The sequence below is a fragment of the Homo sapiens genome, chromosome 17, assembly GCF_000001405.40.
Source record: "Homo sapiens chromosome 17, GRCh38.p14 Primary Assembly".
Taxonomy (NCBI): domain Eukaryota; kingdom Metazoa; phylum Chordata; class Mammalia; order Primates; family Hominidae; genus Homo; species Homo sapiens.
The window spans coordinates 78,104,485-78,129,766 of record NC_000017.11 but is presented as its reverse complement, the minus strand read 5'-3'; the positions used below and the strand labels follow the sequence as shown (position 1 = coordinate 78,129,766).

Sequence of the window (25,282 nt, the reverse complement as noted above, 5' to 3'; positions counted from 1 at the left end):
GAGAGGCAGGGGCTGGGTCTCCATGCCAGGGTGCCACTTGCCAAGAACCAGCTTGGGGTAGCCATCTGAGGACCACACTGGCAGCTCCAAAAGGCCCCAGCCTTGACCCCTGCCTGGTCCTCGCTTTTGCTTGCCTGCTCTCCCCTGCAGCAGTGCCCTCTCCTGCCCTCCTGGGCCCCAGCTCACATTCACCCTGCCTGCTTCATGGCTTCTCCCCGCCAGGAATGACCCTCCCTTCCAAATGGGCTTGGGGTGGGGGGTACAATCTCAAAGGCAGTTTCCTCCATAGAGTTCCCAGGTGGACCACTAAGTCTCCTGCTTTGGCTGGGGGCACCCTAAAGGGTGATTAACTTCTCTCAGCCTCAGTTTCCTCATCTGTGAAATGGGAATATCAGTGCATACCTTCCTGGCTCATGGGGAATAACAGAAAACAGGGCAACGGGTACAGCACCTGGGGACAGTCACCTAAGTGTCAGCGTGTCCTCCTTTTCATCCCCTCCTCTCCACACAGCACACAGGAAGTGAGCCAGAACTCTTGCTAGATAAACAATGAACCCCGCCCAGGTGTCAGGAGTGGGAGATAACCAGGCTCCCCCCGCCGGGGTCGGGGAGAGTCAGCAGGAGGCTTGCGGGGGCGGCGGGGGGGGGGGCGCTGCCCAATCTGGAGTGAGATACTCTGTGTCCCTGGGGCTTTCGGCGGCATCTTACTTGGACGATCCCTAACCATGGGAAGCAGATGAGTCTGGAAATATTGCCCCTTTTTGGAACTTGGGGAAACTGAGCGTCAGAAAAATTGGGGACTTCAACCAGGGGCTGGAATGAATCCAGCCCAGCTCAGACCTCAGGAGGAGGGGTCGGAAGTTGGCAGGGGAGGAAGGCATAGTCGCCGCGGGGCGCCCGGAGGAGGGCGGGGGCGCCGCGGGCCGGGCCGGGTCACGTGATAGCCGAGGCCCGCCCCCCCCCCCCCCGCCCACGTGGGCCGGGAGGTGCGGCTACTCCCCCGGCCCCGGCAGACCTGCGACTGGCCCAGTCGCCCCTGGGGCCCTTTGCCACTCCCTTGGCAAGGAGAGCCGAGACCTCAGTTCCCGGCGGCTCTTGCGGGGCACAGGTGAGCCCTGGCTGCGCGCGCGGCCCCTCCTCCCCGGCGCCTCCCAGGTGAGCGGCCGCGATCCCGGTCCCGGGTCCCGCCAGCCCCAGCTGCTTCTCCTATGCGGGGACAGCGGCAATCCCCCCTGAATTCCTTTCGGCCTCTGGGGCCATTTGGCAGCCGAGTTCCCTCCCCGGGTGCTCCTGGAGCTCCCAGGGCTTGACCCTCCGGCTCGGACAGAGCTGGGAGCGGCAGGGGCGGGGAGGACAGTGCGGGGAGCAAAATCCGCAGCCCCCACCCAGGTCCCCCAGCCGAGCGCCAGGGCACGGGGAGGGGAGGGGAGGGGGTGTGGCCGGGATGGGAAGGGGCGGGGGACAGGGAGGCCGGCTGGACGGGTTCGGTGGCCCCAGAGTTGCAGCCGCTCTGGGCTCTGGGGCCAGGTTGCGGTTCTCCCTGGGTAGCGGCTGCTCCCGGGAAGCTCGCTGCCGGCTGGGGTGGGGGTTCCTGGAAACGGGCGCCACCCAGCCTCTCCCCACCTAGCTCAGGAATGGTGCGCCTGGAAACTCCGCTGGACTTGCCTGGGCCTCGGGGCGGAGTGCTGGGGCGCTGGGTGCCCGAGTCCCCGGGTTCCCTGAGCTTAGAAGGGCCTGTCTGGAGGAAGGGATTCCAGCTCTAGGGACTGGGTGGGGCGTCCTCAGCCCCTCTTTCGGCAGCTGTCCCGTGTTAGGCTGGGTGGGGCCGCCTCGGACCCAGCTCTGGGCTGGTTTTCCCACGTCTTTGCTCCTGCTGGAGGGAGGGGGTGGTGTGGGGCCTGGGCCCGAAGATGGCACCCAGGACACTGAGGGAGGGCGCCGTCCGGTCCTGTGACTGGCACCCCTGCAAGGAGCTGCTCTGTCGGGGCGCCCCCGGGCTTTGCCTGTCCGAGGAAAGCGCCCTTCAACCCGGCCGACTTTGAGCCCTGAGTTCCTGAGGGTGAGCGCAGGAGGAGTCCAGGGCAGAGGCCGGCAGGACTCGCTGGTGGCTGGGAGCTGAGTCCTGGCTCCACTCTCACAGATGAACGGGCCCCGAGCCCAGGGCCCCAGACAAGGCTGCTCTGGTTCCAGTTGTGCCGGGTGACGGCAGAGCCAGGACAAAGGAGGCCTGTTGAGGTCCTGGCCACCCCCAGCCGGCCGCCCTGGGATGATGGAATGCAGGGCAGTGGGTCTTCTGAGAACATGAGGACCTTGGCGCCCTGACGGCGGTGGCATGGAGTGACCTCTGTGTGTGGGGGAGGAGCCCCCTGTGCTGCTTCCGCCTGGGGCTGGTTGGGGGTGAGGGCTCCAGCAGCTAATTTCCTGCTAGAGGAAGTTCTTTGAGGTCACAGGGCAGACGCAGAGAAGGCCTACAGCCTACTCTGACCTTTCTCTCCAAAAAGGAGGTGTCTCTGTGCCAGAACCCTGGGCATGGAGATCCTGAAAGGGGCTGTGTCTACAGGCACCCTACCTCTTCCCCATTTCCCAGGGACTGGCGACATCGAGGAAACAGATGTGGAACTGCAGACCCCACACCCTTCCTTCCTCTCTCCCCTCCCCTGACACTGGAGGGGGCCCCCCATTCCATTCTGGCATGAGGCTTATTCGGTGCCTCACCATTTATGTACCTGGGGTGATAGGGGGGTGGGCGGGACTGTCTGGGCTGTGAGTGGCACCTCCTGTGGTTCCCCCAGGAATGGGTGGTGTGGACAGCTGCCAGGCGTTGAAGACCACCCCTGGCTCTGTGCCCCTGTCTCATCAGATGGGGGCTCCGGAGGTGGCGCCCAGGCTCTGAGCTACCCTAGGTCTGCAGACTAGCGGGCATTGGCCAGAGACATGGCCCAGCCACTGGCCTTCATCCTCGATGTCCCTGAGACCCCAGGGGACCAGGGGTAAGCGCTCTGGGGCTGGGGGCTGGAGGCTGGAATGTTCCACCCCCCACGGAGAGGTCACCTGAGCAGGGGCTGCTGGAAGGAGAGAGGTGGCTGGAGCCTGACCCCCCCGCCAACCCCCTCTGCAGCCAGGGCCCCAGCCCCTATGATGAAAGCGAAGTGCACGACTCCTTCCAGCAGCTCATCCAGGAGCAGAGCCAGTGCACGGCCCAGGAGGGGCTGGAGCTGCAGCAGAGAGAGCGGGAGGTGACAGGTGAGCTCAGGCCTGGATGCTGGGTGGTGTGGACCAAGACTTGGGTGCCCCAGCCCCTCAGGACGGGCCTCCCAGCTCTGCAGGCCTGGGATGGGGTGGGAGATACTGTGGCCAATGGCATCTCCAGGACCCCTGGTGAGTCTTTCTTGCTTTGTAGGAAGTAGCCAGCAGACACTCTGGCGGCCCGAGGGCACCCAGAGCACGGCCACACTCCGCATCCTGGCCAGCATGCCCAGCCGCACCATTGGTGAGTGGGACCCTCAGCCTCGGCCTCGGCCCCGGCCCCGAGTTGACCCCAGTCCCTGGGGCTGGGCTGGGCTTCCTGCCAGGCATCTCCCTGGGTAGTGGCTGCTCCCGTAGCTCAGAGCCAGGCCCAGGGCGGGCTCCTAGCCCATCCCATCTGCTGCCTGGGGGCCCAGCACAGCCCCATGTGGCCCTCGCTGGGCTCCAAAAATGACTCCAGAGTCATCACGGGGTAAAAATAGGCTTTCGGAATGCAGTGGTGCCTGAAGTCTTTGTTGAAAGGATTTTCCTGGGTCCTGGGAAGGGGTGAGGGACGCAGAGGCCTGTGGTGAGCCCATCCTGAGGGGAGGGAGGCCTGGCCCTGCCCGGCCCGGCCCTGCCCAGCTGCCTCCATAGGCCGCAGCCGAGGTGCCATCATCTCCCAGTACTACAACCGCACGGTGCAGCTTCGGTGCAGGAGCAGCCGGCCCCTGCTCGGGAACTTTGTCCGCTCCGCCTGGCCCAGCCTCCGCCTGTACGACCTGGAGCTGGACCCCACGGCCCTGGAGGAGGAGGGTGAGTGAGTGGGCACTGGAGCCCCAGTGGCGGACACCGGCCTGGGGTGGGGTGCAAGAGGCCAGCCTGGCCTGGGCGGTGGCTGGGGTGCTGCAGAGCCAGAGGCCCCTCTCCTATCCCTTAGCAGGCTGCCTGAAGGCCCCCCCGTCCCTCTGCAGGGACCCACGGGGACAGGGAAGTGGGGGTCTTACCTCACAAGCGCCTTGGAGTGCTTGGAGGGCTGTGGCCCTGGGCCCCGAGTCGGGGACCGTGCGTGGGAAACAGGCCCCTGTGCTCTGTGAGCTTCCTGCTTGTCGCTGACTGAAGCAAACACACGGCTGATTGGCGACTGAAGCTCAAATAAGGGCACCGAGGTGTCTCGGGACGGTGCCGCAGGGACACACAGGCCTGACCAGGGTCCCGGCTTCGGGCTGCAGGGAGGGGCACTTGGGGATGGGCAGGACCTCCCTCTCCCTCTCGCAGAGAAGCAGAGCCTCCTGGTGAAGGAGCTCCAGAGCCTGGCAGTGGCACAGCGGGACCACATGCTTCGCGGGATGCCCTTAAGCCTGGCTGAGAAACGCAGCCTGCGGTGAGCAGCCCCGACCCTGACCATGCCGCCGCTGCTGCGCCCCCAGACCCACTTCCTCAGCTGGGCTAGGTGGTGGGGGAGAAGGGGCTGAGCCCGTGGGTGGCCGGTCTCCAGGAAGGAGAGAGTCAGGCCCCTCATTGGTCCAGGCACCTATGGCTGCCTCTGTCCCCAGAGAGAAGAGCAGGACCCCGAGGGGGAAGTGGAGGGGCCAGCCGGGCAGCGGCGGGGTCTGCTCCTGCTGTGGCCGGCTCAGATATGCCTGCGTGCTGGTATGGGCCCCTGGTCTGCCCTGGGGCTGGGGCGGCTGGGCAGGGCTGGGGTGGCCTCAGTGCCTCCTCCGGCCTCACCCTCAGGGCCTCTCTGCCTGTGCCCGCAGGCCTTGCACAGCCTGGGCCTGGCGCTGCTCTCCGCCCTGCAGGCCCTGATGCCGTGGCGCTACGCCCTGAAGCGCATCGGGGGCCAGTTCGGCTCCAGCGTGCTCTCCTACTTCCTCTTTCTCAAGACCCTGCTGGCTTTCAATGCCCTCCTGCTGCTGCTGCTGGTGGCCTTCATCATGGGCCCTCAGGTCGCCTTCCCACCCGCCCTGCCGGGCCCTGCCCCCGTCTGCACAGGCCTGGAGCTCCTCACAGGCGCGGTGAGGAAGCCCTAGGACTGGGGGACGGGGGGTGCCTGTCTTCTGCTACCCTGGTACCGTGTTCCCTTCTTGTCCCAGCTCCCCTGGGGCCCCCAACCCTTGCCCCGCTGTGACTCCAGGTGGCCACAGCCAGCTCCCCGCCTCCCCCTCAATGACCCTGGATGCTCATCGTGCTGGGGTTCCCATGGGGCTGGAGGCCCAAGATTGCTGTGGCCAAGGCCCCTCCCTGTTTCCCTCACTGCCCCTGCCTGGCCTCCTCCTGCTCTGCCCCTGTGGCTGTCAGGCCTGAGGGTCGGGTGGGGCGTGGGGAAAGTCCCTGACTCGGCTGGATCTCCCTGTGGCAGGGTTGCTTCACCCACACCGTCATGTACTACGGCCACTACAGTAACGCCACGCTGAACCAGCCGTGTGGCAGCCCCCTGGATGGCAGCCAGTGCACACCCAGGGTGGGTGGCCTGCCCTACAACATGCCCCTGGCCTACCTCTCCACTGTGGGCGTGAGCTTCTTTATCACCTGCATCACCCTGGTGTACAGGTAATGCCTCCACCTCATGACCCAGGCTCCGAGCTCCACTCATCCATCCATTCATCTTTCGACCCATTCATTGATTCTTCCCTCTTCCTTTCTTCCTTCTGTCCATCTACCTGTCTGCTCTCATCCACTCACCTATCCAACTATCCACTTACCCACCCATCTACCCATCCATCTACCTACCCACCCATCCACCCATTCATCCATCCACCCACCCATCCACCCACTCAATTCACCCACCCATTTACCCATTCAGCCATCCACCTACCTATCTACCCACTCAATTCACCCCCCCATCCACCCACTCAATTCACCCACCCATCCATCTACCCACCCATTCACCCAATCAGTTCACCCACCCATCCACCCATCCACCCATTCATCCATTCACCCACCCATCCATCCATTCACACATTCACCCATTCACCCATCCACCCACCCATCCACCCATTCATCCATCTACCCACCCATCCATCCACTCAGTTTAACCCACCCATCCACCCATTCATCCATCCACCCACTCATTCATCCACGCATCCATCCATTCGCACATCCATCCACCTCCTTATCTATCCACCCATTCATCCACCCATCCGTTCATCCATCCACCCATCCACCCACACATTTATTCATCCATCCATCCACCCATCCACCCATGCATCTACGTATTCCACAAACATTCTCTGTGCTCAGCTCAGGGCAGGATGGTAAATGTCCTAGGGGGGCTTGCTGTCTCTGGGAGAAGATGGACCACTGAATGGGCTGGGACAATCCATGAGGCTTAGTGGTGTTTCCCCAGTGTTATGGGAGCACTGGGGAAGGAGTCAGGCTGCTTCCCAGGGGAGGCGGCACTTGCCCTGAGAGGGGAAGGTTAGATAAGAGTGGGGATGGATAAGGAAGCAGGGAAGATGTTTTGGTCATTGGGACCAGCAGTGCAAAGGCCCTGAGGTGAGCCCAGCATCTTCTGGTCCATGTCTCGCTGGGAGGCAGCCAGCCAAGTCCGCGGTGAATGCAGCCCTGCCCCCTCTTCTAGGCAGATGTGGCTGGTGGGTGCTATGTTGGATGAGACTGGTGTAGAGGGCTGGTGGTGGGGCAGGGGTGTGGCAGGAGGCCCAGTCAGGGCCCAGATGGCTCCTGAGTGGGTGGTGGGGTCTGGCTGCCCAGAGCATCCGGTCTGCCTTCTCCCCTTGGCCTCTGCCCGTCAGCTTGTTGGTTGCCATGTCTGTGTCTGCTTCTCCCCAGCATGGCTCACTCTTTCGGGGAGAGCTACCGGGTGGGCAGCACCTCTGGCATCCACGCCATCACCGTCTTCTGCTCCTGGGACTACAAGGTGACGCAGAAGCGGGCCTCCCGCCTCCAGCAGGACAATATTCGCACCCGGCTGAAGGTGAGTGGCCCCGGAGCACCAAGCTGGCCTGCCCAGCTCCCTGCAGGCCTGGCCCTGGGTCCACTTAGGACCATGTGACCAGAACCATGGTCTAGAGGGAGGGCCAGCTGTCCGTGAGCTGAACTCGGGGCGCTGGGCAGGCGTGGTCTTCTGCTTGCAGTGACGGGCAGGCCCTGAGTTTTTCTCTGGCACACACCCATCAGTTAGGGGCTGCCTCTGTTGTCTGCTAGCGCGTAGTAGCGCCATGGCCCCGTGGGCACCCGGGAGCCAGCCCTGAGGCCTCAGGCCCCAGCTGGCACATGCTCCCTGGCTGGCGTTAGCTTGGTTGGTGGCCATAGGAGGCCAGTGGGTGAGGACTGTCACCTTCTGTGTGCCTCAGAGAGGAGACTGAGGCATAGAGGCCGAGGCCCTCGTAGAGGTTGCGGGGCCAGGAGGCTGCAGAGCCGGGCCTCGTGGAACATTCTCTGCCTTTCTGGGGTTCTGTGCTTCAAGGAGCTCAGAGCTGTGACCTGTCATGAGCCATTCCGTGTAGGGGGGCTTCTGGTCACTGGGGGCCACCCACATCCACAGGGAACAGGAAAGGACCTCTGAGCAAGGCCCCTGCCCCAGCGGGCAGGGCTGGGGAGGTGGGTGGAGAGGGGTTGAGGCAGGCCTCGGGAGTGAACGCCAGCCCAGGCACAGGGGCCTCTCGGCAGGGGGACTGGGTCCTCTCTGCGCCTGGAGGGAGGGCCCTCAGCAGATGAAAGGGCAGGTGGGGCATGGGGAACTGGCCCTCTGTCCTGGTTCAAGCCTCCTGGTGTGTCTCATGTGTGTTGTGTGTGTTGTGCTGTGTCTGCACGTCTGCGTGTGCCCGTGCTCTGGTGTGGGTGACGGGGACACGGTGCCGCCTGCAGGAGCTGCTGGCCGAGTGGCAGCTGCGGCACAGCCCCAGGAGCGTGTGCGGGAGGCTGCGGCAGGCGGCTGTGCTGGGGCTTGTGTGGCTGCTGTGTCTGGGGACCGCGCTGGGCTGCGCCGTGGCCGTCCACGTCTTCTCGGAGTTCATGATCCAGGTGCGGGGATGGGGGGAGCCTGGCCCTTGCTTGGAACGTGTCCCCAGTGACTCTGGGCACCTGCCCCCTGGGGAGGCAGCCTTGCCTCTCCTCCTCCACCCAGCCAGCCCAGGGTGCCACGTACGCTGTGCCCCGTGCTGGGGCCCCCTCCGAGCCCCACTTCTCAGCCCCTTGTCCTGTCTCACGGTTTTATTTTTTGGTTTCTGGTTTCTTTTCCACTACTTGTACCCCTCCCTGCTTCCTGTGTGGTTTGAACTTGAGGCCTGGGGAGGGCCAGATCTTGGAGGAGGGAGGTGCTACCTGCCAGTTCCACCCCGGGCCCTTCCCTGTAGCTGCCCGCTCCCACCATGGATGGGGGGCTTCCATGACACCGCTCCCTGCACCCCTGCAGAGTCCAGAGGCTGCTGGCCAGGAGGCTGTGCTGCTGGTCCTGCCCCTGGTGGTTGGCCTCCTCAACCTGGGGGCCCCCTACCTGTGCCGTGTCCTGGCCGCCCTGGAGCCGCATGACTCCCCGGTACTGGAGGTGTACGTGGCCATCTGCAGGTGTGTGGCCGCACATGAAAACATCATTTGGTGCTGGAGCTGATACTGGTTGTTTAGCTCCGGGTGTATCCAAACCTACTTAGGATGAGGCCGGTGTGACCAAGCCCCTGGTGGGGGCCCTGGGGTGCATCTTCTGTCCCCTGTACCCGCCCCTCAGCCTTTGCACCCCGCCCTCCGCAGGAACCTCATCCTCAAGCTGGCCATCCTGGGGACACTGTGCTACCACTGGCTGGGCCGCAGGGTGGGCGTCCTGCAGGGCCAGTGCTGGGAGGATTTTGTGGGCCAGGAGCTGTACCGGTTCCTGGTGATGGACTTCGTCCTCATGTTGCTGGACACGCTTTTTGGGGAACTGGTGTGGAGGTGAGGGGGTCCTGGGCGGACTGGGTGGTGAGTGTTCTCCCCTTAGTGGCCGGGACGTGTGGCCGGGAGGTTCTCAGGCCTGGACCTTTCCCATCAGGGCCCTGTGTCTCCACCCTTCAGAGGAAGACTCAGGAAATAGAACCGAACTCATTTTTAGATTGGAAAGGAAAACAGGTTTCAAAGTGATGTGTATGGCCAGGCATGGTGGCTCATGCCTGTAATCCCAGCACTTTGGGAGGCTGAGGTGAGTGGATCACCTGAGGTCAGGAGTTTGAGACCAGCCTGGCCAGCATGGCAAAACCCCGTCTCTACTAAAAATACAAAAATTAGCAGGGCGTGGTGGCGCACACCAGTAGTCCCAGCTACTCGGGAGGCAGAGGCATGAGAATCGCTTGAACCTGGGAAGCGGAGGTTGTAGTGAGCTGAGATTGCGCCTCTGCACTCCAGCCCGGGCGACAGAGCAAGACTGTGTTGCCAAAAAAAAAAAAAAAAAAAAAAAAGTAACGTGTATATGACACAACCTCAGTCTAGGATACAAAGGAAAAACACACAGCAGGGAACAGACAGCGGAGGAACATTTAAAAAATGTTCCAGGTATTCCGCTGTGGGTTCTGGCACTTCAGCTGTTTTTTTCCTCTTGGTGTTTTCTTCGAGAATATATGAATTTAATAATAATAAAAAATAAGATTAAAAAAATCAGTAGGAGGCCCGGTGTGGTGGCTCACGCCTGTAATCCCAGCACTTTGGGAGGCTGAGGTGGGAGGATCACTTAAGCCCAGGAGTTTGAGACCAGCCTCGGCAACAGAGTGAGACCTTGTCTCTAAAGAAATAAAAATAAAAATAAATAAAAATTAGCTGGGCCTGGTGGTGTGTGCCTGTAGTCCCAGCTACTCAGGAGGCTGAGGTGGGAGGACTGCTTGATCCCAGGAGGTCAAGGCTGCAGTGAGCCACGATTGCGTCACTGTGCTCCAGCCCGGACAACAGAGCCAGACCCTGTTTCAAAAAAGAAAAAATCATTTGGTGCTGGAGCTGATACTGCTTGTTTAACTCCGGGTGTATCCGAACCTACTTAGGATGAGGCTGGTGTGACCAAGCACCTGGTGGGGTCCCCCAGGCTGGTGGCTGTCTCTTCTTGGCATTATCTGTGGAACGGCCAGGATGTCCCCTGGCTGGGGGCGGGGTGCCTCTGGGTGTGGGGACTCAGGCTGGCCTCCCTGGGCATGGCTTTCCCATCTAACGATCCGGGGTCCTCGGAGGCAGGATTATCTCCGAGAAGAAGCTGAAGAGGAGGCGGAAGCCGGAGTTTGACATTGCCCGGAATGTCCTGGAGCTGATTTATGGGCAGACTCTGACCTGGTGAGGGTCCTCTGCTTGCCTCCTACTGTCTGGCCCCTCGGTCAGTGCCCCTTTCCCCCCGGGGGTCCTGTACCTGCCTCCCCCTGGGGCCACAGCCAGGCCCGGCCATGGACCCTGGAGTGATGCAGACCCTAACCCCGGGGACTCAGTTTTGGCCACTGTCACATGCCCTGCCCGTGGTCTGGAACCAGCCTGATCTCGGGGAGGGGAGGGCACTGGAGCAGCCCCTGAACTGCCACCCCCTCCCCAGGCTGGGGGTGCTCTTCTCGCCCCTCCTCCCCGCCGTGCAGATCATCAAGCTGCTGCTCGTCTTCTATGTCAAGAAGGTGAGGCTGCCAAGGCCTGGGGAGGGCTGGGCTGGCAGGGTGGCCGGCAGTGGGGGCAGGACTCAGCTGGGCAGAGCCTGGGACACTAGAACCCTCCCCACCTGAGTGGAGTGGGGCTGGCGGCTCGGGGCTGCCCTGGCCTGTCCCTCCGCCCAAGGGACGGCTGACCCCTCTTGGCATCACTGTCTTCGGCAGGCTGGGAAGCATCGCTGGGTTCAGAGGTCATTAGCAGGTACCTGTGTGCACCTGGCCAGGGGTAGGGCCAGGGCTCTGGGAGACACCAAGCCTTGGGACCTCTGGGTCCCTGGAAAAGTGATGCTGGGCCTCTCTCCGCAACTGGGTCATGCCCAGTGGCTGAGAACTGGGACCTTTCTTCCCATCCTGGCTCCTGTCTTTTTATTTTATTTTATTTTTTGAGACAGAGTCTTGCTTTGTCGCCCAGGCTGGAGTGCAGTGGCGCAATCTCGGCTCACTGCAAGCTCCGCCTCCCAGGTTCACGCCATTCTCCTGCCTCAGCCTCCCGAGTGGCTGGGACTACAGGCGCCCGCCACCACACCCAGCTAATTTTTTTGTATTTTTAGTAGAGATGGGGTTTCACTGTGTTAGCCAGGATGGTCTTGATCTCCTGACCTTGTGATCGCCCACCTCAGCCTCCCAAAGTGCTGGGATTACAGGCATGAGCCACCGCACCTGGCCATCCTGGCTCCTGTCTCGTCTGGCCTTTTGTTTCCTCATCCCTGCAGTGGGGACCATGTTCCAGTGGGGACTGAGGGAGGTGGTGTGTACAGTGTTGTGTGCAGAGCCTGGCATGGCAGCGACCTTCAGCAGATGGAGGTGCTGTTGGCATCACCCGTTTGCGTGCAAGTGACCGGCAGGCTTCTGTCTTCCTCTGTAAATGAGGAGGCTGCAGGGAGCAGGGTCCAGGCTCTGCCTGGACGCACAGCCCTGGTCGCCCTTCCCTCTTGAGCTCCCCCAGGGCTTGGAGGGGTGCTGAGGGGTAGCAGGATGGTGGCAGAGCGCAGCCTTTCCCCACAGACCAGCCTTCTGGCCAACTGCCAGGCGCCGCGCCGGCCCTGGCTGGCCTCACACATGAGCACCGTCTTCCTCACGCTGCTCTGCTTCCCCGCCTTCCTGGGCGCCGCTGTCTTCCTCTGCTACGCCGTCTGGCAGTGAGTGGGGCGGGTGGAGGGAGACCCTTCTGTGTCATCTGGGGGTTGGGTGGTGGTGCCTGGGGGGCCCAAGGCTTAGGGGTGCAGAGGACGGGCTGGGAGGGAGCCGGGTGAACTGTTGCTCGGGGTGAGGGTTCCTGGTCGGCATCTTCCCCAGGGTGAAGCCCTCGAGCACCTGCGGCCCCTTCCGGACCCTGGACACCATGTACGAGGCCGGCAGGGTGTGGGTGCGCCACCTGGAGGCGGCAGGCCCCAGGGTCTCCTGGCTGCCCTGGGTGCACCGGTACCTGATGGAAAACACCTTCTTTGTCTTCCTGGTGTCAGCCCTGCTGCTGTGAGTCCCGCAGGTGGGGGCGGCCCTGGGGAGATGGCCCTCGCTGGGCCTGCACCGTGTGGGGACTGGCCGCTCCCGGGCTGTGGCCCTGGGCCCTGCCCGACAGCCCCTCTCCCGCAGGGCCGTGATCTACCTCAACATCCAGGTGGTGCGGGGCCAGCGCAAGGTCATCTGCCTGCTCAAGGAGCAGATCAGCAATGTGAGTGCCCCTCCTGGGCTGCTCTCAGCCCCCACCCTCTCAGGTCACCTGAGGGTGACGCTCCCCTCCACTCCCCTGTACATCTCCTGTGGGCCTTGGCTGGTGAAAGGGTTTGTTTGCCAAACAAGTGACCCTGATCAATACGTGCACTTCAGATCAAGTGACGAAGTAGCCGTGAGACAGAGCCAGGCTCCTGATCCCCAAGGACCCGCAGGGCCCCACTGGGACCAGGGCTCTGGGGGGTGGGGTGTGATTTCAGCCCCCGGGTGTGGCCCCGCTGAGGGTTTAGACAGTCTCTGTGAGGATTTTTGGGTCCCTATGGACTCTTCACTCATTTTACAAACAGGTGGATTAAGGTTGAGAGTTAGGACTTAAAACTTTTTTTTTTGGAGACGGAGTCTCGCTCTGTCACCCAGGCTGGAGTGCAGTGGCACAGTCTCAGCTGACTGCAACCTCTGCCTCCTGGGTTCAAGCAACTGTCTTGCCTCAGCCTCCCGAGTAGCTGGGAGTACAGGGCCTGCCGCCACTCCGGCTACTTTTTTGTGTTTTTCGTACAGATGCAGTTTCACTGTGTTGCCCAGGCTGGTCTCGAGCTCCTGAGGCAATCCACCCACCTTGGCCTCCCAAAGTGCTAGGATTATAGGCATGAGCCACCGTGCCTGGCCAAAACATTTTTATGAAGAAAACAATGTTTGACCGGGTGTGGTGGGGCTCATGCCTATAGTCCCAATGCTTTGGGAGGCCAAGGTGGGAGAATGGCTGGAGCCCAGGAGTTCGAGACCAGCCTGGGCAACAGAGTGAAACCTCGTCTCTATAAAAATTTTAAAAGTTAGCTGGGTGTGGTGGTGTGCACCTGTAGTCCCAGCTACTTGGGAGGCTGAGGGAGGAGATTGCTTGAGCCCAGGTTGAGGCTGCAGTGAGCTATGATTGTGCCACTGCGCTCCAGCCTGGGTGACAGTGAAACTCTGTCTCATAAAAAAAAAAAAAAAAAAGCCTGGGCATGGGGGCTCAGGCCTCTAATCCCAGCACTTTGGGAGGCCGAGGTGAGCAGATCACTTGAGGTCAGGAGGTCGAGACCAGCCTGACCATCATGGCAAAACCCCGTCTCTACTAAAAGTACAAAAATCAGCTGGGCGTGGTGGCGTCCACCTGTACCAGCTACTCAGGAGGCGGAGGCAGGAGAATCAGCCCAGATTGCGCCACTGCACTCCAGCCCGGGCGACAGAGCGAGTTGCTGAGGCCCTCATGCTGTGTCATGGGAGTGAGTTGCAGAAGGGGGTCGGACCCCATACCGGAGAGGCAGCCCCCAGGAGTACTGTCCACCCGGCAGCTGGTCCCTGTGCCCACTCCCTTCGCCCCTGTGCCCACTCCCTTCGCCCCTGTGCCCACTCCCTTCGCCCCTGTGCCCACTCCCTTCGCCCCTGTGCCCACTCCCTTCGCCCCTGTGCCCACTCCCTTCGCCCCTGTGCCCACTCCCTTCGCCCCTGTGCCCACTCCCTTCGCCCCTGTGCCCACTCCCTTCGCCCCTGTGCCCACTCCCTTCGCCCCTGTGCCCACTCCCTTCGCCCCTGTGCCCACTCCCTTCGCCCCTGTGCCCACTCCCTTCGCCCCTGTGCCCACTCCCTTCGCCCCTGTGCCCACTCCCTTCGCTCCTCTCTGCCCAGGAGGACCTCCTTGCCCACTGGGCACCCACCAAGTTGGAGACAAGGCACTTTCCCCCCGGGCTACCCAGCCTGGCCTCCTCCCCGAGGCCCCTCCCCTGGGGAACGGCCCCCCGTGAAGCAGGTCCTGTGGCTTTTCCAGGCTTGCGTCCTGCTGCTGGGCTCTGCCCTCCCCCTAGGGCTCCCCATCCCCTCCCATTGCCATTTGTCCTCCTGCAGGTTTTCACTCTGGGGCTGGTGAGTGCCAGTGTCCTTAGGCATGCTCCACACCAGGGCTAGGGGGGCGCTTGTGGGGATCAGCGGCTGGCGTCTGCCAAGGCGAGGGCAGGGCGGGGTGCAGCCAGTGGGCCTCGGCAGCCATGTGACCCTGCTGCTGGCTAGTTGGTGCCAGGATCCAGGGCTCCAGGCAGCTCGTCCCAGCTCGTCCCAAGCACTCATGGGACGGCTCCCACATTGCTTGGGTTGTAAACACTGTAGTACACACTGTCCCATCTCCTGCCTTTCCCGTTTCACCACATAGAGCTGAAAGCCTGGCATCTCGGCTGCGGTGGTTGTCTGGCTGTAGATATTGGAAGTGGGGAATGGCTCCTGCCCTACTGGGTGGCATTTCAGAGCCCCCAGGGGCCAGGTAGGGCCAGGTGGGTCCGGGCGGGGAATGCAGAGTGGTGCTGGGAGAATCCCAGCTCTACCCACCGTTGCTCTGGGATGGGAAGGACCTTTCTCCAGGCGGATGCTGGCTGTGGTGTCTACCCAAGGCCGAGCTCTGACCCGTCTTTGGGGCTGTCGGTCTGAGTTTTCCCCGTGCAGGTCGGCATGGCTCAAGTGCACAGCCCCTCCATACTCATCAGCAACTCGATAGAAGCTACTTAGGTTGTTGCTTAAGGGGCCCATGGTCTCTCCTTGAAGGTATTCTAAGTGGTCCTCCTAGGCTGAGCCAGGTTGCCAGGTGCCCAGAGCCAATCCGTGTGGCTCTTGACAGAACTCCTGTTCTCTGTGTGAAGCTCCGGGCGGGGAATCCCGGTCTGACCCAGGCACTGATGATCAGTGTTTCGGTGCACCAGATCCTTTGCTAAGTGCCCCCTCTGCTTGTCACATTTCATTGTCGAAAGAGCCCTGGGTCAGTCCAGTACTGGCCCCAAAGATGTCCCCGTCCTAAGACTGGATGGAGCCTGTGAATACGTTACGTTGCGTGGCTGGGGAATTACGATTGCAGGTAGAATTAAAGTTGCCAGTCAGCTGACTTTGGATAGGAGATGGCCCTAGATTATCGTGGTGGCCCAGCGTGATCTCAGGGTCCTTAGAGGTGAAAAACAGAGGCCGGAGTGTCAGGGTCAGAGTGGTGCCACGTGAGCAGGACTTGAGCAGCCACTGCTGGCTTTGAAGTGGAGGAAAGGGCTGAGAGCCAGGGGCCTCTAGAAGTTGGAAAAGGCGAGGAAGAGGATTCTCCCCCGAAGCCTCCGGGAGGAATGTAGCCCTGATCATGCTTGACTGGAGCCCAGTGAGACTCATTTTGGACTTCTCACTTCCAGAACTGAAAGTTGAGAAACCGGTGGTGTTTTAAGCCACGAAGTTGATGACAGTTCGTTACGACAGCAGCAGGAAACTAATGTAAACCCTGTGCCTTGTGTTATTATCCCCCTTTACAGATGCTGCCACTGAGGTCACAGAGTTAGTAACCCAAGGCAGAGCCAGTACGTGGCAGGGCTGGTTTTAAATTGAGTCAGGCTGGCTCTGGGCTGCTGATTACATTTCCCTTTTCACTTTGGCCACTAGGAAGCTTAGATCCACACATACGCCCACTTCCTGGCTCTTGGTTTTTCCTTGTCCTTGTTTGGTGGCCCTTTCACCTTTTCTTTTATGTTTTTGCTGCTTGCGATGTTGAATACACCTCGTGAGTTTTCCCTCAAATGCAGTTTGGAACAGGATGGCTCTGGATGGGCTGATGGATGATTTCTCCTCCCCTTTGTGTTCTGGCCTTTCTAGGAGGGTGAGGACAAAATCTTCTTAATCAACAAGCTTCACTCCATCTACGAGAGGAAGGAGAGGGAGGAGAGGAGCAGGTGAGGGTCCGTGGAGGGATTGGGGACACTCTGAGCCTGGAGGGGAGAGGGGCCAGGGCTGGACAGTAGGGCTGCCACTGGGGCTACACCACGACATTGCTGACACTTGACCGCTTTTGACCTACAAAAATCTCCCCCCCGGCGCCCACCTTCACTCTCTCTAGAGCCTTCTCTGGCCTCCGGAGCCTGGCCATTTTGACAGGGACCTAAAATACATCTCAGGAGAAAGGCTGTGGGGCGTCTGGCCTGTCCCTCGCCGGGCCTTGGCTGCGCCCAGCCAGGTTGCAGGGATGTTGATGTTTATGGGGTCCCCTCAGTGATGTCTCTTTCTGGCAGGGTTGGGACAACCGAGGAGGCTGCGGCACCCCCTGCCCTGCTCACAGATGAACAGGATGCCTAGGGGGACGGCGATGGGCCTCACGGGCCCGCCCAGCACCCTGAGACCACACTGTTGCCTCCCAGTGACCCTGCTGGGACACCAGGACAAGGAAGACAGTTTCGCCTCTCGAAAGCCGCAGCTGCGCCTAGGCTGGAGCTGGAAGGGTGGGTGAATCCGGCTTGGGCATCCCCAATGAACTCTGCCCTGCCTGGGACTCTATTTATTCTGATTAAAGGGGTTTTGCAAATGGGCTTGTCCCTTGGGGCTCTGTGTCTGTGACCACACCCGGGGCCTGCTTCCCGCTGCCCTGGGGCCACCTCCAGGCGCAGGTCTGGGTCCTGGGAACCTCAGCTGGAGTGGGGGCGCCCTCTGCTGGCCAAGCCCCAGATGGCAGGGGCTGGACCGCGCCAGGGCTTGATTCGCTTGCTGCCTTTGACCAGCCTGAACTCGCGCCCAGGAGGGGCTTACACCTGCACAAGTGAGCCGAGCAGGCACGGATTGTGACCAGAGCGATGCGTCAACCATTGGGTGATGCTGTAGCATCTACTGGAGCAGGAGACAAATTTAGAGAGGGACTTGGAGGGGAGACATATCAGTTGCAAATGAGTTGTGGGGACAGTTGCCTCCCAGGCATAGGTAACCAGCACCTGTGCTTGGAGGCGAACAGGGCTTGGTGAGGTGGGGCTGGCCCCCTGCTTCTGGCTGCCAGCAGCTGGCTGGGGGGTGGTGATCCTGGGTCTGACTGGGCTGAGTTTGAGGAGCCCGTGGGATACCGAAAACCGTAGGCTGTGGGGGGTGGGCACAGGGATTCGGGGACCAGCCCGTCATGACCCCGTGCTCCAGGTCTGCAGGGACCAGCCCATGACAGCCCAGGGCTCCAGGTCTGCGGGGACCAGCCCATCACAGCCCAGGGCTCCAGGCCTGCGGGGACCAGCCCGTCAGCCTCAGTTCTCCAGGCCTGCGGGGACCAGCCCGTCATGACCCCAGTGCTCCAGGTCTGTGGGGACCAGCCCGTCAGCCTGTGCTCCAGGCCTGCAGGAACCAGCCCGTCAGCCTCAGTGCTCCAGGCCTGCGGGGACCAGCCCGTCAGCCTGTGCTCCAGGCCTGCGGGGACCAGCCCGTCATGACCCCAGTGCTCCAGGTCTGTGGGGACCAGCCCGTCAGCCTGTGCTCCAGGCCTGCGGGAACCAGCCCGTCATGACCCCAGTGCTCCAGGCCTGCGGGGACCAGCCCGTCATGACCCCAGTGCTCCAGGTCTGTGGGGACCAGCCCGTCACGGCGCAGGGTTCCAGGCTTGTGGGGACCAGCCTGTCACAGCCCAGGGCTCCAGGCCTGCAGGAGCTGCGCTTGGGATTGGGGGAATGAACCCAGGTGGGGAAATGGTCAAAGAGCGATGGGCCCAGAAAAGGGTCAGACCCAGATGGAGATGCCACTGGCTGCTAGCAGACCCCCACGCTGGGTCTAGCCCACCCAATCCCATGGGGATGCTCCTGTGCTCTGCAGACATCTGGGTGCTGCCACAGGGGCCCGACAGAGTTGGCATCTGGGTGGATCTGAGCCAAGTGGTGCTTCTGGGCCTCAGCAAGTAGCTGGTGCTGATTCTGGGCAGCCAACTGTGGCAGCATCTTCAGGTGCGAGTGCTGCTGGGTGAAGCTGCGTGGGCAGTCCAGAAAGTGACGTGACAGTCCACAGGGACCGACGTAGGGTTTCCAGCCCCTATCTGTGCAGATGCTGTCCTCCAAACCATCACGGTCCCTCTCTGGCTGGGGACGTGCGCCTGCCACTGCTGGCTTGCCAGCATGATCATTGGTTGTGACCTGTTGAGCCCATCTTGCCAGCCTCACAAAGGACAGTACTAGCTGCTTATGACAGGAAAGTGGAAGAACTTGGCCTGGATATTTCTGGAGAATTACCGTGTGTGCTAGTCAGTCTTTCGTGTCAACCAGGCCAGGCTGTGGGGCCCAGTGATCTCATCGAGAGGGGCCGAGGTGTTGCTGTGATCGTGTGCTGCTGGAATGTGGTGAACACCTACAGTCGATTTCACCTAAAGATCATCCTTGAGAATGTGGGTGGGCCTCATCCTATCAGCTGAAAGCTTTAAGAGCAAAACCCGAGGTGTCCCAGAGAGGGAATTCTGCCTTGAGACGGCGGCTTCCCACTCCCACTGGATGTCCAGCCCGCGGCCCCACGGCTGGGTGAGCCCGTCCTCTCCTCGTTTCTGTCTCCGGACCCACCGTGTGGCCCCAGACCCTCCAGTGAGGACCTCCCGTATTTCTTCAGAGCAGCCCTTGCGTGCTGGAGGCCTGGGCTTCAGTGTGTCCCTGGGTGCCCTGGGGCATGTTCTGTGACCTCCCAGCTCCTCGCCTCATGGGGCCGCTGTATCAAGTGACACAGTTTGTGTGCTGCGTACCATGCCTGGCACCCATTTGAGGTGTTGCAAGGAGGCCATGTTTGCTCGATGAGAGCAGCCTAAGATCTACAAACTGTTGTTCGAGTGGATGGGAACTTGATGCTATTTTCAGGCTGAATGACAAGACTCCGCGATGCTTCTCGGCCTGGGCTGCACAACGGAATCTACCAGGGAGGTTTTAAAAACACTGGTACTTGCTGGAGGTGGTGGCGCCTGTCTGTAATTGCAGCTGCTCCAGAGGCTGAGGCGGAGGATTGCTTGAGCCCAAGAGTTTCGGTTTATTTGCTTTTTCAGAGTCTTGCTCTTGCCCAGGCTGGAGTGCAGTTCCATGATCTCGGCTCACTGCCTCAGCCTCCCAAGTAGCTGGGATTACAGGTGCATACAACCAGGCCTGGCTGATCTTCGTATTTTTAGTAGAGATGGGGTTTCACCATGATGGTCAGGCTGGTCAAGATCTCCTGACCTCAAGTGATCTGCCCGCCTCGGCCTCCCAAAGTGCTGGGATTACAGACATGAACCACAACACCTGCCGAGCCCAGGTGTTTTGAATCCAGCACGGGCAATGGCAAGACCCTGTCCCAACAAACAAAAAAACACTGGTGCCTGAGGCCCACCCCGAGAGATTCTGATTGAGTTGATTTGGATTTGAATTATCTTTAAAATTTTGGATGTGAATTTTTTTTTTTTTTCTTGGAATGGAGTTTCACTCTTGTTCCCCAGGCTGGAGTGCAACGGGACGATCTTGGCTCACCGCAACCTCCGCCTACTGGGTTCAAGCCATTCTCCTGCCTCAGCTTCCCAAGTAGCTGGGATTACAGGCATGTGCTACCATGCCCAGCTAATTTTGTATTTTTAGTAGAGACAGGGTTTCTCCATGTTGCTCAGGCTGGTCTTGAACTCCTGACCTCAGGTGATCCGCCCGCCTCGGACTCCCAAAGTGCTGGGATTACAGGCATGAGCCACCATGCCTGGCCGGATGTGAATTATCTTAAAAATTTTCAGGTAATTCTAATGGGCCAAGGTTGAGAACCCCTGCTCTGGGCCCATCCGAGCACCAGGCTGTCACAAACGCATGCATGCACTCACGCCCGTGGGCTTGGGGGGCTTCGGAAATGTGCTTCTGCTTTTTTGAGATGGGGTCTTTCTGTTGCCCATCCCGGAGCACAGTGGCACGATCACAGCTCACTGCAGCCTCGACCTCCTGGGCTCAGGTGATCCTCCCGCCTCAGCCTCCTGAGTGTCTGCTTCTGGTTTTCATGATGACCTGGGGCCCAGGCATACTACACTTGTGCTGTTCAGGGGCCAGTCCTGCACCAGGAGCCCATCAGCCACAGCTCCGCCGAGAAGCACTGATATGCAGAGCTAAGCAGCTTTGTTTCCACGTGGATCCTGCGTAGGTTTTCTTGGTCCATCCGTAGACACCGCACTCCTGCAGAGGATCTTCTCGGGATGCCCCACTGTCTCTGTTTTCCCTCTTCACTGAACACTCAGTCGGGGCTCGCCATGATGCCTCTGTGTCTGCTGGCTTCTCCCCCATTGGAACAGCCTTCTTGGCACGCCACACTGCTAGCTGCTGGGCACTGTGCTTTCTGCCTTTACCGTTCTGCCGTGATGTTGCCAAAATAGCAGCAACAACAACAACAACAAAGGCTGGGCACCTGGCTCATGCCTGTATTCCCAGCAGTTCGAGATCAGCCTGGGCAACATGGTGAGACCCTATCTCTACAAAAATAAAAAATGAAATGAGCTGGGTGGGGTGGCGCATGCATGCCTGTGGTCCCAGCTACTTGGGAGGCTGAGGTCGGAAGATCGCTGGAGCTTAACCTTGAGGTCAAGGTTGCAGTGAGCCGAGATTACATCACTGCACTCCAGCGTGGGAGACAGAGACCCTGTATTAACAAACAAAAACACAAACCACAAAGGGCAGGTCTGAAACTGCCATTTAAAAAAAAATTTAATAAACTTAAAAAAATATATATCCACAGATGCAGGTGAAGAACCTGTTGTCTTCCTCAAGCCTCTTTTTCACCCATGGGTGGAAATGGTGCCCTGGACACCCAGGCCCACGAGGTCTTTGCGTGGGGTCCCTACACAGGGCTTTAGCTTACACTGTGCTGCCCTCCTGTCCCCCGAGTTCCCAGTCTGTCAAAATCCAACCTGGTCTCCCAGGCCCAGGGCAAATGCCACCTCCTCCATGAAGCCTGCCACATCCTTTGCACACCCTTGGGCGCTGACCTTGTTCTCCCAGCGCACAGGCACGGGTACAGTTTGCCCCTGTAGTAGTAACTCAGGCACAAAACGAACTCTTGCTGAGGCTCGGCCGCGCAGAGCTGAGGGTTGCCGCTTCCAGGTTCAAGTGCATTTTGAGTTTCATTCCCAGCTTCCTTCTTTTTCTGGTCTTTAATTTCTTCTCCGGATTAGGTCCCACTCAATGCTTTCCTTCTCAATTTCCAAAAGAGTATGGTCAGAGCCAGCAGCACACCACCTTCCCCATGGGTGGGGGGGGGCCAGCCTGTGGCGGGGGTGCGGGTCCCATCTTTTCGAAGGAATTGACCCACAGTGGGCGGGTCCACCTTTGACCTTGCCCCAGGGAGCGCAGACAGAAAAAAGATCCTTGCTTAGTTTGAGGGGCCGCTGGGGTGCTCGGTTTGTCTTCAGAGGCCTGTCTGTAACACCAATGCCAACCCGGTGGCACTGACTGGTCACCCTGAAGGCCACGGCCAGTGTCCTAGGAAGGGACTCAATTTCTAGCTGTGCCACCTGAGATTCTGGGGTTAGGCTGGTTGTGCTTCTGAAGTTCCACTGTGCTCAAAGTGCTTGGTGAAAGTTAGCGAAGGTGATTTTACAAAAATAGATGCATAAAATGTCTAGGAAACACAAAAAATCCTCATTACTCTTCTCTCCAAATATTTTTTAAGCCCCAACTGGACCCTAGGCAAAAGTGAGTGGCACTCCTCTGCCAGGACTCCAGGCAAGCCCCGGCATCTTCTTGCTGCCGTCCCAGACAACAGAAGTTACCAGATGAACAGACTTGGATGGGCCACGGGGGTGGAGAGCTGGAAAGCTTGGCTGTGCCTCTCGATGATGATTAAGATTTCAATATTTACAGCAAAACCACAAAGCAAATGATAGAATAAAGCAAAACAATGGAAAATCTGAGTTCACTCGTGAGAGAGGTACGTATGTGAGCTCTGAGGAAATTACAGAGGGAACGCATGCAGCGGGACAGCTCTCCCAATCGCAGCGTGCAAAGTAGACATCCATAGTGTCTTTTGAAAAATGAAAAACACATTACTTTGAACAGCCAAGAAAAAAATTGCAATTTATTAAGATTCAATAAAGCGTTGTACTTTCGAAAGCAACTTTCGATGCATGTTCTTCAACAGTCACATTCTATGAGGAAAACATTAAGAGCCACGAACTTGTTGTTTAATCTCAGAGTTACAGACATATTAAGTTCAAAATAAAAGGTAAAAAAAACAAAAAACAAACAAACAAAAAACCCCTCAAACCCAACAAAACCCAAAAACAAACAAACATATTCTTGACTTCCATCCCCAATTTTAAAACAACAGTTTTTCTACAACTCAATGCTCGCCGGCAGCACGGGAAGTGGTATGTCGGACGCACATACGCACACGCATGCTCACACGCACACATATTGGATATACATACGCAGGTGTATGTCCATCGAATATATAGAACGCATGTAATGGCAATGAGATGCAGTCACTCTGAGGAAGGTTGGTTTTTCTAAATATCCTACTAAACTTGAGAAAAAAAGTCTTGAACCCAGTTTGTGCATAGTTCATGATCCTCTATAAAACCAGCTTTTGTGGATCTGCAGTCTTGCAGGACTTTTTTTTTTTTTTTTGTATTTTTTTTGTTTTGATAAAACCATTAAAAAGCTAATTAAAAAAATGTAATGCACAAGTTTCCTGATCAAGCAGGCAGGGAGCACAATGTTCATATATATATTTTTTAAAACATACTTGAAGGTATGTTATTCCATTGTCTTTCTTCCTTGCAAAACAATCAAAACATTGATCATTTTTAAAACATAAAGCAATTTTTAATATATAAAGCACTCTTCAAACATCTATTTCTTTTGAGTCCATTATTTGGTAAATATGTAACTGCTACACATTAGAGATTAGGTATTTTTCTTCTTTGTGTTTTTTTTTCCTCTTTTTCTTTTTTTTCATTTTTTTGTTTTGTTTTGTTTTTTTTTTTTTTAAATAACATCTTCAGTGCTAGGAGTTGGGTTTAAAAATACATGAAATGGTGTGGAGCTGCCCTCGGGAGCCCTGGCTTTCCTGAGAGCGCGTCCGGCATGTGCAAGACAGTGGCCACAACGCCTGTCACCTTGACGAAGGGGCGAAAGCAATCGACAGAGTCCACGACGATGGCCGAGGGAACAACACTGTCCCGTCCCAGAGCTCTGAAGGAACGCATCTGCATTCTGAAAATAGGTTTCTTTACGACGGAAGTCTTTTTTTTTTTTTAATTCCTTTTTAAATTTTTAAAATTTTAAAGTCTGAAGGAGAAAAAAAGGTCTGTAAACAGGTGGGAGCCCAAACCCCAGGCTCCCCCAAAAGCAGTCACAACCCACGCCCAAGTGCTTGTTTCTGTTCCTTCCACGGAACCATCCATTCTTTACAAGTATCTATGGCCACAGTTCAACAACAGTTTTTTTTTTTTTTCTCTTTAACTTTATATTCCAAATGGAAAAATGGTGCAATACTCTGGTAATAATTTTCTTGCATTAGTCCACAATAAAAAGCTGCTAAAGGTAGGTATACATGTTATTTCTCCAGAGATATACACTGTACTTTTTAAACGCAGTCACAGAGTCCTTGAGTAAACATTTACACATGAATTGTCGCCAGCCCTGTCCTAGGAATTCTCTGTAATGTATAGGATTAGCTAAAGGAAGGGCGAGGACACTCAGTGCAAAGTTAGAAGCTAATAATAACAACCGTTTGACCAATGCGCCAAAAAAAAAGCGTATACTGAATACAAGGGAAAACCCACAGTTAAATCCTCACACGCTTTCAAACACACAAACACAGAAAACTGCACGCCGTGCAGGAGCACGCGCCACACATGCACACACACACACACTTCTGTTTCAACACGCACACATACACACACGTAGGCTATGAACTTAGAAATTTTTCCTAGAGCCTGTTTCTGTGTACTGATGTCAACCTGGAAGTGTAGAATTAGAAAGTGTTCACATTTCACTATTGGCCTGCTGGATTCAAGTATTTGCATGTTTGATATGTCTTTTTTTAACTTTTAAAAAATATTTTTTGGGATAAAAAAATGACATGAAAAAGTAATGAAACAAGGGTAATGTGCATAGGCGGATCCAGGGGAACAGAGAGCAGATCGCAGCCCGCGCCTTCCGCTCAGCTCCCGCCGCGGAGCCGCTCTGCGCCCGGCGGTCCACACCAGACTCTGCCCTGATTACCGGCCGCCTCTGGTCATGTGCATAATCGTCACAGGCTCATTTTAAATAGGCTTCACGTCTCCCTCCCTCCCCCACAGATAAAATAACCCTTTCCAGCCCACAATCTGAAAAGTGCCCTTCATGATAGAACTATTCTAAGCAGCTTTTATACTTAAAAAAAAAAAAAAAATCAAAATGACAACACACTATACAAACATAAGACGCACAAAATAAAAAGCTACGAGGAACATCCTGTCATTAGCATGTGACGCTGACCCACCGCAGCCCGCACTGTTTTGCGAACAGTTCGCAAGGACTGCGGCCAAGGTTCGTCTTCAGTCCTGGACAGAGGTACTCAAAAGGGCGGCCGCTGCTGGGTTCCAGCGGGTCTGTGGGGCCGCCCAGCCGGGAGGGGTCCCGGGAGGGGTCGGCTCTCCTGGTGCTGATGATGGCAGAGCCTACAGGGACTCCCCGCTGAGCAGGTCCCCAGGCAGCAGGGTGGTTAGCGGCGTGGGGCTGCCTATCACCCTGCTGTCGTCGGCGCTGGGCGGGCCCCACAGGCTGCTGGAGTACTGGGGCACCCCGCCCCACAGCAGCTCACTGCTCCCCTTGCCACCCAGGCACGGGGCGTTCCAGTGGCCAGCGTCGCTGCGTACCAGGCCATGGGAGCTGCCCGCTGCGCTGAGCCGCGGCTGGCTGGACGCGCTGCTGGACTGCCAGCTGGAAGTGGGTGGCAGCGCCTGGCCTTGGGCTAAGAAGCGATTCACTTCTTCTTCACCAGCGAACTCGGCCAGGATGGTAGTGTTTCCCAGGACGCAC

At 58.3% G+C, this 25,282-nt stretch overlaps 2 protein-coding genes across 64 annotated transcripts in view, besides 14 other annotated features; one reads left to right on the top strand and one right to left on the bottom strand.

Moving 5' to 3' along the window:
- The window catches only part of TMC6 (transmembrane channel like 6), a 25,031-nt gene extending 2,661 nt beyond the window's left edge, over positions 1-22,370 (top strand). For 2 of the 43 annotated variants that reach the window (XM_047435253.1, XM_024450556.2), the window contains exons 2-21: positions 2,861-2,990; positions 3,119-3,243; positions 3,401-3,490; positions 3,883-4,041; positions 4,504-4,609; positions 4,782-4,878; positions 4,986-5,243; positions 5,588-5,778; positions 7,018-7,162; positions 8,056-8,211; positions 8,603-8,754; positions 8,935-9,114; positions 10,375-10,470; positions 10,721-10,796; positions 11,832-11,965; positions 12,123-12,299; positions 12,420-12,498; positions 16,143-16,219; positions 16,556-20,716; positions 21,927-22,370. In XM_047435253.1, the coding sequence (XP_047291209.1) occupies positions 2,935-2,990; positions 3,119-3,243; positions 3,401-3,490; positions 3,883-4,041; positions 4,504-4,609; positions 4,782-4,878; positions 4,986-5,243; positions 5,588-5,778; positions 7,018-7,162; positions 8,056-8,211; positions 8,603-8,754; positions 8,935-9,114; positions 10,375-10,470; positions 10,721-10,796; positions 11,832-11,965; positions 12,123-12,299; positions 12,420-12,498; positions 16,143-16,219; positions 16,556-16,619 (2,418 nt within the window). In that variant the 5' untranslated portion in view covers positions 2,861-2,934 and the 3' untranslated portion in view covers positions 16,620-20,716; positions 21,927-22,370. Of the gene's footprint in view, positions 1-972; positions 2,991-3,118; positions 3,244-3,400; positions 3,491-3,882; positions 4,042-4,503; positions 4,610-4,781; positions 4,879-4,985; positions 5,244-5,587; positions 5,779-7,017; positions 7,163-8,055; positions 8,212-8,602; positions 8,755-8,934; positions 9,115-10,374; positions 10,471-10,720; positions 10,797-11,831; positions 11,966-12,122; positions 12,300-12,419; positions 12,499-16,142; positions 16,220-16,555 lie in introns of those variants that run through there. The other 41 variants (NR_168291.1, NR_168288.1, XM_047435259.1 and 38 more) reach the window with 41 other exon arrangements.
- Positions 919-1,448: a silencer, noted in NCBI's record as "silent region_9042". NCBI's record gives its function as "represses an Ori minimal core promoter by ATAC-STARR-seq in GM12878 lymphoblastoid cells {active_cell/tissue: GM12878}" and the evidence as "EXISTENCE:reporter gene assay evidence [ECO:0000049][PMID:35858748]".
- Positions 2,129-2,378: an enhancer, noted in NCBI's record as "active region_12858". NCBI's record gives its function as "activates an Ori minimal core promoter by ATAC-STARR-seq in GM12878 lymphoblastoid cells {active_cell/tissue: GM12878}" and the evidence as "EXISTENCE:reporter gene assay evidence [ECO:0000049][PMID:35858748]".
- Positions 2,719-2,798: a silencer, noted in NCBI's record as "silent region_9041". NCBI's record gives its function as "represses an Ori minimal core promoter by ATAC-STARR-seq in GM12878 lymphoblastoid cells {active_cell/tissue: GM12878}" and the evidence as "EXISTENCE:reporter gene assay evidence [ECO:0000049][PMID:35858748]".
- Positions 2,849-2,898: a silencer, noted in NCBI's record as "silent region_9040". NCBI's record gives its function as "represses an Ori minimal core promoter by ATAC-STARR-seq in GM12878 lymphoblastoid cells {active_cell/tissue: GM12878}" and the evidence as "EXISTENCE:reporter gene assay evidence [ECO:0000049][PMID:35858748]".
- Positions 4,729-4,978: a silencer, noted in NCBI's record as "silent region_9039". NCBI's record gives its function as "represses an Ori minimal core promoter by ATAC-STARR-seq in GM12878 lymphoblastoid cells {active_cell/tissue: GM12878}" and the evidence as "EXISTENCE:reporter gene assay evidence [ECO:0000049][PMID:35858748]".
- Positions 7,128-7,277: an enhancer, noted in NCBI's record as "active region_12857". NCBI's record gives its function as "activates an Ori minimal core promoter by ATAC-STARR-seq in GM12878 lymphoblastoid cells {active_cell/tissue: GM12878}" and the evidence as "EXISTENCE:reporter gene assay evidence [ECO:0000049][PMID:35858748]".
- Positions 8,358-8,487: an enhancer, noted in NCBI's record as "active region_12856". NCBI's record gives its function as "activates an Ori minimal core promoter by ATAC-STARR-seq in GM12878 lymphoblastoid cells {active_cell/tissue: GM12878}" and the evidence as "EXISTENCE:reporter gene assay evidence [ECO:0000049][PMID:35858748]".
- Positions 8,528-8,587: an enhancer, noted in NCBI's record as "active region_12855". NCBI's record gives its function as "activates an Ori minimal core promoter by ATAC-STARR-seq in GM12878 lymphoblastoid cells {active_cell/tissue: GM12878}" and the evidence as "EXISTENCE:reporter gene assay evidence [ECO:0000049][PMID:35858748]".
- Positions 13,290-15,276: a meiotic recombination region, noted in NCBI's record as "meiotic double-strand break mapped by DNA meiotic recombinase 1 chromatin immunoprecipitation followed by single-stranded DNA enrichment and sequencing in the germ cells of some male individuals with the PRDM9 A/A, PRDM9 A/B and PRDM9 A/C genotypes". NCBI's record gives the evidence for it as "EXISTENCE:chromatin immunoprecipitation-seq evidence [ECO:0000229][PMID:25395542]".
- Positions 13,829-14,569: a repeat instability region, noted in NCBI's record as "repeat instability region; AluI fragment, displaying instability at the CEB72 minisatellite". NCBI's record gives the evidence for it as "EXISTENCE:restriction fragment detection evidence [ECO:0001124][PMID:11121218]".
- Positions 13,834-14,148: a minisatellite, noted in NCBI's record as "CEB72 (D17S888) VNTR, 21 nucleotide repeat".
- Positions 14,168-14,180: a nucleotide motif, noted in NCBI's record as "nucleotide motif; similarity to the predicted 13-mer PRDM9 A binding motif (LD hotspot motif), CCNCCNTNNCCNC".
- Positions 14,480-14,492: a nucleotide motif, noted in NCBI's record as "nucleotide motif; similarity to the predicted 13-mer PRDM9 A binding motif (LD hotspot motif), CCNCCNTNNCCNC".
- Positions 17,117-17,176: an enhancer, noted in NCBI's record as "active region_12854". NCBI's record gives its function as "activates an Ori minimal core promoter by ATAC-STARR-seq in GM12878 lymphoblastoid cells {active_cell/tissue: GM12878}" and the evidence as "EXISTENCE:reporter gene assay evidence [ECO:0000049][PMID:35858748]".
- Positions 20,932-25,282, bottom strand: part of TNRC6C (trinucleotide repeat containing adaptor 6C) — a 151,279-nt gene continuing 146,928 nt past the window's right edge. For 15 of the 21 annotated variants that reach the window (XM_047436496.1, XM_047436485.1, XM_006721996.5 and 12 more), the window contains one exon: positions 20,932-25,282. In XM_047436496.1, coding sequence (XP_047292452.1) covers positions 24,922-25,282 — 361 coding nt within the window. In that variant the 3' untranslated portion in view covers positions 20,932-24,921. The other 6 variants (NM_001395512.1, NM_001395509.1, NM_001142640.2 and 3 more) reach the window with 1 other exon arrangement.